The sequence below is a fragment of the Homo sapiens genome, chromosome 6 (assembly GCF_000001405.40).
Source record: "Homo sapiens chromosome 6, GRCh38.p14 Primary Assembly".
Taxonomy (NCBI): Eukaryota; Metazoa; Chordata; class Mammalia; order Primates; family Hominidae; genus Homo; species Homo sapiens.
In genome coordinates this window covers 132,502,145-132,516,355 of record NC_000006.12, presented here as the reverse complement: position 1 = coordinate 132,516,355, position 14,211 = coordinate 132,502,145, and the positions used below count along the sequence as shown (strand labels likewise).

Below are 14,211 nucleotides of genomic sequence, written 5' to 3'. Positions count from 1 at the left end.
GGGAACCTGGGTGAGGTATATACAGGAGTGCTGTACTATCTTTGCAGCTCTTCTATAAATCTAAAATTATTCCAAAATAAAGAATCGTTTAAAACATGGGGGAGAAGAAAAAATGTTTTCTAGCTAATGGGAACTACGTGAGCGAAGCACAGAAATAAGAAAACCCCTGGTTTGTGACTGGGGAGCTAGCTGCTGGGATGGAGGGGAGAGCAGACAGAGAAAGAGGAGTTATTTAAGCCAACATATTCCAAGCATAAATTTTGATGCTTGGAAAGGCAGGATCAGACCATGTGGTCCTTATATGTATAGGGACCATATGATGCATCATCTGAACTGAAGCACGTTTGAGAATGAAAGGGCATGCTCAGAAGACAGGCGGCCAGGACAACAAGCATAAACTAGGGCTGTCCTAGCAAACTAAATATATGGTCACCCTGTGTATATGCAGGGGGCTTGGACTTGATTTTGAGAGCAGTGTTTTCCATTATGCATATTTAAAAGTTTTACAGGCAAGTTCCACCATCAAATACACTCATAAAATACTGGGTAAAAGAAATTTTTACTTGTTTCTTTCCTGAACCACTTCTCAGCGTCTTTAATTTACAAATATGCTCTGTGAATCTTCAAGAATGCAATATAATATGTTTCCCAAACATTTCTTTGTAGACCAATTCCCTGATTCCTTATTTCAACCCACACAATTCCCCAGCTCTCCCCAATCTAATTATTTTGGTTTTTTTTCTTAAGAAATACAGTTCAGGGAATGCTGCAATCATGGAAATGGCATGAAGCCTGGAGCAAAGTTCTCAGATTAGAGCTTCAAATATTCAGTGGTGGCTTTGACAATAATAAAGTTGAGAAGACCTGGAGATAGAAGATCCAACAAGGAGGCTATTGCAGTGGATCAGGATGTCAACCGTGAGGGACAGAGAGAAGAGGGCACATATGAACAACACTTAGGAGGTAAAATTAGAAACGAAAATACCAGTCATCAGGAGGTAAAATTAGAAACAAATATACCGGTCATCATGCTATAATGGCCCATGTAAGATTTCCACGGGATATCTGTTTATTACCTCCATGTTCAAAAGCTAGGGCAAAATCAATTCTGTGCTTGATATATGACTAGGCACTTGTGTGATCTTAAACAGAAAACAAGTAGACTGTAGAGAGACATGGAAGGTGCTTAACAATAAGGCACAACTGAACTAACTCTTGTTTATTAAGTATTAATTTAAGCTTCCTTTTAATCTAGCATAGATTTTTTAAACCAGTTGTGGTTTTCCCACTGTATTATAAATAAAAACAAACCTTCATAAGTCAACTTGTCCTTCTCACTTACCAATAAGTCCCTGTTTGCTCTATTTACCTTTATGCGTCTTTTACTTCTTTGGCTTTCCCAGAAGATCACATAGTGGTCATGTAAAAAATATTTTTAGTTCAGTAACTATTAAATGAACCAGCAATTATCTCCTTCTATTCCCTGGAATTGCTATCCCAGACACTGGAGATACAGCAGTGGACAGTTCTCCATCCTACATGAGAGATGTTACATAGGAGGTATTTATGGTATTTATATTAATAAGGACACCACAAGTGTGCAGATAACATTCCCCACTCAACAACTTCTGGTTTCCTTCAAAATCTCTCCAAGAAGGCCCAAATCTCGCAAATTACTATTTCTGAAAATCCAAATTACAAGCTTTCAGTCATAGGTAACTTCTGCACATGGAAATGATTTATTTTGGGAGATGTGACATTATCACTCATCAAATTAGGAGACTTTTAAAGCCCTACCACTTTCAAGACACCTGGCTGAATTTAACTTGGTAGCAGCCAGATTCACAGATGGAATACTGTGTCAGGAACTCTTAGTAATTCATTTATCTTAATACTTCTAAATTTTGCAAGTTTGTCTAGACTATAATTCTTTTTTTTCCCATTTGAATACCAAAGGATGAAATCTTATTCTAAGTTTTCAAAAGACCTGGAAGGAATCCACTCATAACATATTTTAAAACAAGGAATTGGAATGAGCCCAAGATGAGGGCTCAGACAGCTAAGTTTTGGGCCCAGCATAGTCAGTAACTATCAGGGTAACTTGAAGAGGCCACTTAATCTCAGGTTCTTCTGTAGTGCATTGTACCTTCCCTCCCCGGAGCCCAGAGTTCTATCAAAGGTAATATGAATGGGTATTTGGAAAGTGCACTAAACCTCACATGGATGTAAGATCCTTTCATGTGTTCCTTCAATGATTGAAATGTTTCTTCCTACGTTCACCAGCCACTTCCTAATTCTCAAGTACAATGCACTACTTTCAGTTCTTTATTTACTTGAACTTTGTGTAACAGGTGACATCATGGACAATTCCCTCCTTTTTTCCTTCATTCTCTAGTTTACCTTTTCCTGGTTTATTTCCTATCTTGTGGGTTACTCGTTTTCAGGGTTATTCTTTCTCTGTCCATCTCTCTTAAGCAGACAACATTCCACACTTAGTGTTGGTGAGTTCCAATCAGAATTCTATCCTGGGTTTTGTTTTTTTCCACCTAAGTGCGTCTGGACTTTTGATATCACCTATCCGGGTAATCATTTTAGAAAATAGTGTTGCCTTAATATAGGCAAAGGCTAAGCCAATCTATCTTCTAATTAATTTGGAGAGGGCTTTCTTTCATTTGTAGCAATTGATGCTTTTCATCTAACAATTACAATATATTTGCATATTTATCATTGGAACTGTCTCTGCTTGTTTTAAACCCTGTGAAAACTACGCCCTGCTTTTCAGGAATGCTTAGAATGACTTGTATGTACTAGGAAAACTTGTTTACAAGTGAGCACCCAGAGATGACTCTTCACTTATTCCTTCATTGTTCCTGCTAGGATTGTGTACTCGCCTTTGCATTTTTCGATAGAGCTGTCAACGCGATCTACTGCAGTTAAAGGTTAGCAAACAAGACAGGCAAGAGCTAATGGGGCGGGGTGAAGACCCGCGTGCAAGAAGGCTGGCTTCACCAGATAAAGAAGACAACTGTCCTCCATTCTGTCCTTTTTTGCACGCAGGCTAAGAGGCGTTCACCATCTCTACGTCAGGCTTCAAAGAACAGCTCCCTTGCAATTTTGCTGATACCCCCATTCCTTAGCTTGGAACCGGAGGGGCGGTGAGGGCCGCTGTCACTCAGCCCCGCGGGCCAATAGAAAAGGGGTGAACCCCGCCTTCTTCCTGAGTTGTGCTGCGGGCATGCGCACTGGGCGTCCCCACGCCACCGCCCATCAGCTGAGAATTGCAGCTGAGGGCTCCGGGGTAGGTGGGTGACGGCGGTCGGAGGTGTAGGAGGGAGCCGTGGAGGTCCAGGTAAGAGGACCCTGGGGAGGGGGCTCCCTGGCCGGGCGACAGGGAGGCGCGGTGCCCCTGCGGCTGCTGCGCCTTCTTGTTTGTGCGCGTGGTCAGGTGGCCGCCGCCCTGCGCTCTGCAGCAGGCACTCGGGAGGCTAGGAAGGGCGGGACTGCCCCAGCTCCCGGAGCGCCTGCGGCTCCCCACGCCCCCCGGCCGGGTGCAAGGGCGCGGCGCGTTCCGCATTCCGGGTGCGCGCGGCTGTGGTCAGGTGGGCCTACCCAGCCACGCACCCGCCGCGGTCCCCTGGGCAGAGCTCCGGAGGCGCACGGCTGGCGGAGCGCACCCCGGGGAGGGCGCCAGAGCCGGCTGGGGCCCAGCTCAGGAATCCAGACACGACCAAATGACCTCTTCCTCTTTTCAACTCACGGATTGAAAAACACACTAAACTTCCCGAATATAGAGGAACTGAAAAATGTATGGCTGTAGCAGGCGAACCGTGTATGTTTATTTATTCAGAGGATCGTAGTATTGTTTTTTTAATTTGGCTTGATGACTTTAACATACTTTGACATTCTTTGAGTATACACCTTTAATTAATTTACATAAAAACCTTTAAACGTACATAAAATATTTCTAGTATTTCCTCCACCTTGTTTTCTAGTTACTTTCTTTAAATTCAGACAAAGAAAAAAAGTTGCATTTCTGATCAAATGCTGTGTGTTTTTTCCCACAAATTTCTTACATTTGTTTGGCTCTTATCTGTATACGTTAATTTTTGTTTACCTCAGATCGTTGTATTCTGACTATAATTATATATAATATATAAAACTTGCCCAGAATCTGGAAGAAAAGAAAGTAATTATGAAATGCTGTGCTATTTAATAATGTTGGAAGTGGACATTTCTTCTGCAGGTTCTCTGAGCACACCTGGGCAGAGGCTGATAACGGTGTTAAACTGTGTTTTGTGTTGTGGACAGGCCTTATAGGCTACTTTGAGAAGTTGGCCTCAGACTCGTGACTAGTTAAGAATTATGCTCTTAACTTCACAGTTTCTGTAGAGGTTAATATGATACCATATTAACTGATTAACATCATAATTTTTCCTCAGATATGTTACTTATGTTGCTCTTGATAACAAAATCAATCCTTATTTTGGTTATGACCCCAAACTTTAAGTGCTGATGATTGAAAAGTAAATTATAGAAAATATTCACAGTAAGTCTGAGTGAAGTTTGCTGTGATTCCATTTAATTTGCAAGTTTCATGTGTGAAAGTATGAAAAAAACAATCCTCGGTATTGTGAACTAAAACCAAGTAGTACAAAAGGTCAGTGATGAAAGAGCTAAGGCCAAAGAATACAGTTAATGTAGTTTTTGCAGAGGATACTTATGTAGACAGAGCACCCTCACATTCCTTGAGCATTTACTATGCACCAGGCACTGTAGATTACACAGGATGACAAGGTCATCTCTCTCCTGTTTATATTCCAGAAGTAGCTCCTGTTTGTATTCCAGAGGTGTAGGGATAAATAATAAACAGTGATTAATTCGACTTTTGAGTATTGTGAAGCAGTAAGTTAGATTGACAAAGAGTGACCAGTGGTGAGTTCTCACTTTCATATCAGAGTGGTCACAAAGGTTTCTCTAGCATGTGATGAGGCCTTGCTGGGGAGAAGGAGCCAGTCACGTGGAGATCATGGGAAGAGCCTTCTAGAAATAGGAAATGGCACCCAGCAAAGGCCCAAGGCAGCAAGAAGCCTGGGACCTTCGGTATCTGAAAGAAGGCACTGGAATTTTATGTTTTGGAAATGGTAATATTTACCCTCACGCTGGGTGTGTGTTCTTAGGAGGTGGGTACATTCATTCATTCTACAAATGTTTGTTAAGCACTTGTGATGTAGCCAGGCAGTGAGAATAGTGCAGTCCACAAAACAGACAAAAAAATGCTCACCCCCCACCCCTCAGAACTTACTTGGGGTAGAGGGTATAGAGAAGTCCAGTTGTTTATGCTGATGCTAATGATTAAGAAAGTGAAATTGACTACTTCTTTGCCCAGGGTAGATTTATAGAGCATGAGATATATGCTAAATGGAAATCTTAAGGATTCTACAGTATATCGGATTTTAACTGGGAGTAGTGTTTGACACTTCAAGATTAAATTTTAACATTCCTTTTGTTCATTCCTTTGTGTTCTTTAGAAGCCGTCTTGAGAAGACTCTCATCTGAGTGTTGCACTTTGATTCTCCCTTCCTGTTTTTCTCTTTATAGTGTTTGTATATCTTCATAGAAAGATGATTATTGCAATGTGGAGATTAGCACTGTGCAATAGATCTTTCTGTGATAATGGAAGTGGTCTATGAATGAGCTGTCCAAGCTGCTGGCCACTAGCCACACAGAATTTTTGAACATTTGAAAGGTGTCTAGTGTGACTGAGGAACTGATTTTTTTCATTTAACTTAATTTTAATTAATTTTAATTTTTTAAAAACGAGAGCTACAATGTAATTTAAGTGATACACAATATAAAATGGTGTAAATTGTCACATGAAAAAATGAAATGTAGAGTAAAAGTGTAGTTTCTTACTGCAATCAGTTATCTTGTTAGCAGCTTAAAATAACCTGTAATAAGATTTTTTTGCTTTTATTATTTTAATCGACAGATAATGATTTACATATTTGTGGATACATGTGATACATCAGTAGATGTGTACAATGTGTAATGATCAAATCAGGGTAATTAGCATATCCATTACCTCAAACATTTAACATTTCTTTGTGTTAAGAGCATTCACAATTCATTCTTTCTTCTAAGTATTTGAAAATATGCAATAAATTGTAATTAATTGTAGTCACCTTTTAGGGGTATAGAACACTAGACTTCATTCCTCCTACCTAGCTGTATTTTGGTGTTAGTTAACCAACCTTTGGCTATCCCCTTCCCGCCATCCTTCTCTGCTTCTAGTAACCACTATAATTTTAACAGCCCATTTAGTTAGTGGCTAGTCTGTTAGTACAGGTCTAGGTAATGAATTATATAATTATTATTCTGAGCAATTAAATAGGAATTCTGAGTGGGCTTTCAAAAGTATTCAACAAGAGTACTTTAGTGCGTAGCAGCTCTGGGCTAGGTAATGGAGACTGATGTGGAAAGCAGACATCTGAATAACTCAGCATCCATTTAGCCTATATGCAGAGATCATAAGCTTTTAATCAATTTGTAGTTACCTATCCTGTCTGTCTATGCTTGTATATATATTTTTTAAAGACAACCATTTGGTTCCTTTCCTTTGTGTGTCTCATTATCAAAAGAGCCAACTGTTGTTGCCTTTTAGATACCACTTATTAGCAGAATAATAGAGAAAAGGAGTAAGCTATTCCTCTGTGTTACCTTGATCAACTCATGTAGTTATCCCAAACATATTCCTTCATCTTAGGAGTGGGAATAGCAAAACTTCATATGGGGCATGCAGAAAAGTGGTAAATTTGGTTTTTCTTTTGTCTTTTTTTATTTTATGTTATGTTATGTTATGTTATGTTATGTTATGTTATGTTATGTTATGTTATGTTATGTTATTTTGAGACGAGTCTCGCTCTGTCGCCGGGCTGGAGTGCAGTGGCGTGATCTTGGCTCACTGCAACCTCCGCCTCCTGGGTTCAAGCGATTGTCCTGCCTCAGCCTCCTGAGTAGCTGGCACTACAGGCGCATGCCACCACACCCAGTTAATTTTTTTAGTAGAGATGAGATTTCACCATGTTGGCCAGGATGGTCTCAATCTCTTGACCTTGTCATCTGCCTGTCTTGGCCTTCCAAAGTTCCGGGATTACAGGCGTGAGCCACCGCGCCCAGCCCAAATTTGGTTTTTCTAACTGAGTTCACCTGCCCTCAATTTTGTTATACAAGGAAGCAGTATGGCTTAGTGTTTAAAAAATGTCGGCTCTGTGGTTATTTTCAAATATTTGCTCCTTTGCTTATAATGATAATGAGGCATAATGATATGCCTCAGTTTCTTCATGTAAAAAAATCACATTAGCAATTATACCCACATGATAGGCTTATAAGAATTAACTGAGAAAATAAATTTAAAAGTCATAAGCACAATGCTTAGGAAATGTAAGTCCTGGATGAGTGTTGGCCATTGTTAACTTTGTTTTATTTTACACATCTTTCTTCTCTATCTTTTGCAAATTGCTTTTCATTCTTCACACATGATTCCTGGCTAGATACAGTGGCTCAAACCTGTAATCCCAGCACTTTGGGAGGCTGAGACTGGAGGATCGCATGAGCCCAGGAGTTCAAGACCAGTCTGGGCAACAAAGTGAGACCCCCATCTCTATAAAAAAATCAAAAAATTAGTGGGATGTGGTGGCAGGTGCCTGTGGACCCAGCTACTCGGGATGCTGAGATGGGAGGATTGCCTGAGCCTGGAAGTCAGGGCTGCAGTGAGTCGTAATCACACCACTGCACTCCAGCCTGGGTGCTCCTGTCTCAAACAACAACAACGCCAAACAAAGAAAAAGTAAAACAAAACTCATAATTCCAGTCAATCTAAGTAGCACCTCTTTGGGTGAATGAAGCCACTTGCCAATTGTCTCACCAGCAGGAACTTTCTCACATTTAGTAGCTTGAGGAAAGGGATGAAGAAAATTGATTGTGTTTGTGACTAAGTGATTGATTTTCCAGAGAGGAAAAAAGGTGGCCTTGAAAGAAAACAGTGAGAAGACTTGGGCTACACTGGTGTGAGTTTTAAGGGTAAGGAAAATGCTGTAGAATACTGTCCTTGACTTGATGGAACTCTTTATGGGAGAGAGAGTAGGCCTCAGGTGTGCTTGCATGGTTTTGAGACAGGTGATGAGTTTCTCTTGGTCTTGTGCTGATGCTGGTCCTGCAGCTGCAAGAACAGATCATAACTTTCCTCTGTGTAGGGTGGAAAAGCATTTGTTCTCTGGATGTGCATTATCTCATTTTGATTCTGGCAGTGGGCCCAAATGCTAAGTGTCTTGCCCAAAGTAGAAATTTCCAGTTGCTACTTCCATGGTGTGCCGCACAGGCAATGGCTGAGTTCTTGTAGCTTCACAGACATGTAGACACGAGAGAAAGCCAAGGGTACGAGCTGGAGACATGGATGTGCGACTCATTCAGGTATAGATTAAAATGGAACCATGTATATGGAGGAGCATCCCCAGAGATTACATGAATAACAAACTGAACATTTTTTCATTCAATGTGTTTGTTTTGGCTTGTAAGCCAGTTTTTCCAGAGATCTACTTGATAGAGGGAAAGGAGAAAGGAAGATGTCATTGAACCAAGAGAAAATTGTCTTTCTCCATACCTTGGAATATTATTTGGCAATAATGAAGGAATATTATTTGGCAATAATGAAGGAATGAAGGACTGATATATGATACAGCACAGATGGACTTTGGAAGCATACTAAGAGAAAGAAGCTAGTCTCGAAGAACACATTGTATGATTCCATTCCTATGAAATGTCCAGAATAGCAAAGCTATAAAGATACAAAGTAGATTAGTAGTCACCTTTGGCCAGTGAGGTTGGGGAGAAATGGAGAGCGATTGCTAATGATTACAAACTTTCCTTTTAGCGTAATAGAAATGTTCTAAAAGTGATGATTGTACAATGTTGTAAATATATTAAAAACCATTGGCTTGTGTACTTCAAGTAGGTGTATTGTATTGCCATATCTCAATAAATTATATCTCAATAAAGCCATTTTATTTATATAAATTTAAGGGGTGCACATGCAGTTTTGTTACATGGTTATATTGCATAGCGTGAAGTCTGGGCTTTTAGTGTAATCATCACCTGAATAATGTACATTGTACGCATTAAGTAATTTCTCATCCCTCACCCTCCCATCCTTTTGAGTCTCCAATGTCTTCTTATTCCACTCTCTGTCCATGTGTACACATTATTTAGGTTCCACTTACAAGTGAGAACATGCAGCATTTGACTTTTTTCTGAGTCATTTCACTTAAGATAATGGCCTCCAGTTCATCTGTGTTGCTGTGAAAGACATAACTTCAGTCTTTTTTAAGGTTGAATAGTATTCCATTGCATTTATATACACTACATTTTCTTTATCCATTCAGGAATGTTAATAGACACTTGATGGGCACTTAGGTTAATTCCAAATCTTTGTTCTTGTGAATATTGCTACAATAGACATATGAGTGCAGATTATCTTTTTGGTATAATGGTTTTTTTTTTCTTTTGGGTAGATACCCAGTAACGAGGTTACTGGATCAAATATTAATTCTATTTTTAGTTCTTTGATGACTTGCCATGCTGTTTTCTGTAGAGGTTGTACTACTTTACAGTCTCACCAACAGTGTGTGTGTTCCTGTTTCTCTGCATTCTTGCCAACATCTGTACTTGTTTGACTTTTTTTCTTTTTTTTCCGTTCAAGATGTGTTTGTGGATGAATTTTTAATAGCCATTCTGACTGTTGTGAGATGATGTCTCATTGTGGTATTAATTTGCATTTATCTGGTGCTTACTGATGTTAAACATTTTTCATGTGCTTCTTGGCCATTTGTATGTCTTCTTTTGAAAAATGTCTATTCATGTGCTTTGCCCCCTTTTTAATGGGGTTATTTGTGGGGTTTTTTGTTGAGTTGTTTGAGTTTCTTGTAAATTCTGGATATTAATCTCGTTGGATGTGTAGTTTGCAGATATTTTTCTCCCATTCTGCAGGTTGTCTGTTCATTCTGTTTATTATTTCTTTTGCTGTGCAAAAGCTTTTTAGTTTAATTAAATCTCATTTTGTCTGTTTTTTGTCTTGTTGCCTGTGCTTTTGAGGTCTTAGTCATAAATTCTTTTCCTAAACCAATGTCCAGAAGAGTTTTCCCTATATTTTCTTTTAGTATTTTAATCGTTTTAGGTATTACTTTTAAGTCTTTAATCCATCTTGAGTCGATTTTTTTTTTTATATGTTGACAGATAAGGGTCCAGTTTCACTCTTCCGCATGGGGCGATCCAATTTTCCCAGCACCATGTATTGAAAAGGGCGTCCTTTCCTCAGTGTATGTTTTTGTCAACTTTGTCAAAAAGATCAATTGACTGTAGATATGTGACTTTACTTCTGACTTCTCTATTCCATTCCATTGTTCTATGTGTCTGTTTTTATATGAATATCATGCTGTTTTAGTTACTATACCCTTTTAGTATAATTTGAGGTCAGGCAATGAGATGCCTCCAGCTTTGTTCTTTTTCTTAAAATTGCTTTGGCTATTCAAAACCTGTGTTTTTTTTTTTTTTTTTTTTTTTTTAAGTGACTTGGAGATGCATTTAAAATTGCATGGTTTCAAGGATGTTCCGGATGGTGTTGGTGTCATTGAATCCCCATGTCTACTCTTGTTCTGTCTGGGCCCAAGTCCAAGGCTACCTGGAAGGAAGTTTATTCCTGTCTCCCCACTGTAGTGGTCCAGCTGTCTGACTTTAGGTTTGAATTTACCCTTTAATGAAATTGCTTTTGGATCCATCTCTAGGATTTGGTGAGACCCAGAGAGCCCAGAATAGATCAGCTGTACCTGAGAGGGAAGTTGGAGAATATCTAAAAGCCACCAGGACTTTCAGCGTGGCCAGGCACATTCAAAGTGCACCAGAGTTCCAGGCATAGAACCAGTACTGTTCTAATGGTCTCAACAGTTCAGCTGTTGTACTTCCTGCCAACACTGTCCCTTAGAGCAAAGACACATACTTCACTGTGGCTTCTTCTCTACCAGAAATCTTCTGTGGCATTAGTTCTATGTGGTAGCAAGCATGGATAGCCTTGGCATCAGAACCCTGGGACTGAATCTCACCTCCACCTGTGGGTGGGTTGGGTTACCATTACTTAATCATAATAAGCCCGCTGTTTGCTCATCATTAAAACAAGAATAATGCCACTTAATTGAAGGAGGTTGTGAAAAAATTAGTCTGTGAAATACTTTTTGTGTCGCAGATGTGCGAGAAATGTTAGGCCATTCCTCTCTTTCCCTTTATGTTGTTTTCCCCTTGTCCCAGCTGTGAATCATCTGATCCAGGGTTGGCCAGGAACCTTCCCTTCCTTTTGTAAATACCATACTGCATGTGGCCTTTCCACGTGCTCTGGGTCTCTCCACCCCAGCCTTCACGTCCTTGCCTTTGTTGTTCTGCATACTGGTCATAACCAAGCATCCAAATCCTATGTTTCTATTTCATAAATTCTTTCCAGACAAGGATGATGGTCATTTTTTCTTTTTGTAGCCCTTCTCATTTTAGCCTAGCACGTGATCTTTTATGGATTTGTGGGGTTTTTTGTTGGTTTGCATTATTAACTTTATCCTTCCTCCTAAATGACAAACTTGATTTGAGCAGATACTGTGTCAGTGTGTTTTGTTTTGTTTGCATCTCCCAGGTGCTTAGTTTAATGCTGGGCATGTACCAGGCTCTTAGTAGAGAGCTAGCTTACAAATTGACCACCAACAATTTTGCAGTATTCCAGTGCATATTCATGGAAAAGATGGGGTGGCGGTAGTTGAAATTCTTTGCTGTGCGCAGTTCTGTATGCAGGGACATTCCTTTTCAACCTTCTTTCCAAACCCTGATTGGAGTGGTGTGGATTGAAGAGGTAGAGAATGTCATCTCACCTGCCTCCTGTGGCAGTATCTCAGTGTCTCTTCTATTCTGAGATGCTGGCTGCTGAAAGGGGAGAGTCATTCGTTCTCCTTCCTCTGTCAGGAAGGTTTGATAAACATTTTATATGACATTTGCTTCGCAGTAGTTGGCTCTGCTATTTCAGATTTAACCTTTTCCATTAAAATTAGAGCCCTATTAATCATACATTCCTGAGCAGGTCCTGTGTGTGTGTTAAATTAGATATTAAGGTTGGTACAAAAGTAATTGCCATTTTTACCATTACTTTTAATGGCAAAAACCACAATTAAAAGTAATGGTAAAAACTGCAATTACTTTTGCACAACCTAATACAGTGAAATTTCTGGGGATAGCCTGAAGTCTGTGTTCCATTTAATAAATATTTAAATGCCTGTTTGTGCTAAGAGTTGTTTTAAATATTGGAGAAAGATAAATAAGCATGTGGGCCCTGCCTTATAATTGTTTGGAGTTTAGTTAAGGAAAAAATATGTAAACAACTAAAATTATATACAGGTAAGGGATTTAATAATTTTTCTTGAAGAGATCAAAGACGTTTTCAAAGGAAATATGCAATTTGAACCTTATTTTAATTGTTTGATGTGTTTAACATGACTCTGTCCTTTGAAGTCCAGTTTTTTTTTTTTTAGTAGACATGAGAGTTTTGCTATTTGATGTGTCACTTTGCCAGATTTCAACTCTATTAGATTAATCAAGTTTGTCCTTGTAACTTCACAGATTGTTAATTTGGAAAATGTAAGCCAGTAACTTAAAAAATATATCTGTGTGACTTTTATATTATTTAGGTGACTGCTTAGAAAACTGCACAGCATCTGATGAAATTAGCGAATAAGAACATCAACCATGTCTTACACTCCAGGAGTTGGTGGTGACCCCGCCCAGTTGGCCCAGAGGATCTCTTCTAACATCCAGAAGATCACACAGTGTTGTGAGTTGAGTTTTAAATGGACTTCACTATTTGTATCCACTCTTAACTGAACTTGGTGGAGGTTCATAAAAGGACAACTCTGCTGATTGAGAGAGGGAGGAGCATTCCTCTAACAACAGGTTTTAAAGGGCTCGAACTCTTTAGAATGAATGCAAGAGAATTATATTTGAGATAACACTTACTGCATTTTTCTATAGGAAGTCAGGGCCAGGCACATAATACATTATTTCATTAAATAAAATAAAGATTTAAAAGGATAATGGATTCTTATATCTGCTTTAAAGCTATCTGGTTCTAGATGAGATGATGAGACCTGATGACTCAGTCTCATAGGTTTGGAACCAGGTAGCACTACCAAGGGCTTAAGGAACATAAAGTTTATTAAAAATAAAATCTGACTGGATATGGATTAGGTTAATCTTATGATGGGCAAGTATGTGGTACCTTATTAAGGAGCAAGAGGAACTAAGGAGAGGACGTTTTAATCTATTGAGGAAGGTATTTTAGAAAATCAGACCTGCATTCCCCACATATTCTTTTTTTTTTTTAGAGACAGCCTCACTCTGTCGCCCAGGCTGGAGTGCAGTGGTACGATCTTGGCTCACTGCAAGCTCCGCCTCCCAGGTTCACACCATTCTCCTGCCTCAGCCTCCCCAGTAGCTGGGACTACAGGCGCCCGCCACCACGCCCGGCTAATTTTTTGTATTTTTAGTAGAGACGGGGTTTCACCGTGTTAGCCAGGATGGTCTCGATCTCCTGACTTCGTGATCCTCCCGCCTCAGCCTCCTAAAGTGCTGGGATTACAGGCGTGAGCCACCGCGCCCGGCCAAATTATTCTTTGCTATACTTGTCAGAGATAGATTACCAGTAGACTGATGCAGTGTGGCACTTCATTCGGAAGTATTCATCGTCAGGATATGTATTAAAAAAATCATTATAGCAGATTTGAGTGGATAGGTTTTTATTTTTTTATTTTTTTTTACTTTTTTTTGTTTGTAAATTATGGTTAATCAGATACCTTGGGTGATTCTAGTCTTGCTCTCAGGGTTTGGCCCTCGGGGCATTACCTGAACTCTTTCATCCTTCGGAGTATGTTAATATAGTTTTATTCTTCAGCCTAGTTCCTTACAAGGCTATTCTTTTTAACAGAATGTTAACACATTGCAGAAATAGTGTTTTCAAATGACCATACTCTGTTTCTTTATCTAATCATTAACTCCTCAACAGCTGTTCCTCTACCTGAATTATTTAAATGAGATGCTAGTGTGTTTTAGGAGCAAAGAGAATAAAACTAGACTCTA

At 39.5% G+C, this 14,211-nt stretch overlaps 1 protein-coding gene across 5 annotated transcripts in view, besides 4 other annotated features; it reads left to right on the top strand.

Moving 5' to 3' along the window:
- Positions 2,884–14,211, top strand: part of STX7 (syntaxin 7) — a 67,606-nt gene continuing 56,278 nt past the window's right edge. For 3 of the 5 annotated variants that reach the window (NR_137169.2, NM_003569.3, NM_001326580.2), the window contains exons 1-2: positions 3,240–3,349; positions 12,768–12,910. Coding sequence is in view for 4 of the 5 variants with exons in the window: in NM_003569.3 (NP_003560.2) it covers positions 12,826–12,910 (85 nt within the window). In the remaining variant the exon portion in view is untranslated. Of the gene's footprint in view, positions 2,940–3,239; positions 3,350–3,572; positions 3,830–12,767; positions 12,911–14,211 lie in introns of those variants that run through there. The other 2 variants (NM_001326579.2, NM_001326578.2) reach the window with 2 other exon arrangements.
- Positions 2,934–3,133: an enhancer, noted in NCBI's record as "active region_25072". NCBI's record gives its function as "activates an Ori minimal core promoter by ATAC-STARR-seq in GM12878 lymphoblastoid cells {active_cell/tissue: GM12878}" and the evidence as "EXISTENCE:reporter gene assay evidence [ECO:0000049][PMID:35858748]".
- Positions 3,284–3,773: a silencer, noted in NCBI's record as "silent region_17550". NCBI's record gives its function as "represses an Ori minimal core promoter by ATAC-STARR-seq in GM12878 lymphoblastoid cells {active_cell/tissue: GM12878}" and the evidence as "EXISTENCE:reporter gene assay evidence [ECO:0000049][PMID:35858748]".
- Positions 3,284–3,992: a biological region, named in NCBI's record as "H3K27ac hESC enhancer GRCh37_chr6:132833503-132834004".
- Positions 3,491–3,992: an enhancer, noted in NCBI's record as "H3K27ac hESC enhancer chr6:132833503-132834004 (GRCh37/hg19 assembly coordinates)". NCBI's record gives its function as "activates a minimal SCP1, AML or CMV promoter by ChIP-STARR-seq in primed H9 embryonic stem cells {active_cell/tissue: H9 hESC(primed)}" and the evidence as "EXISTENCE:reporter gene assay evidence [ECO:0000049][PMID:30033119]".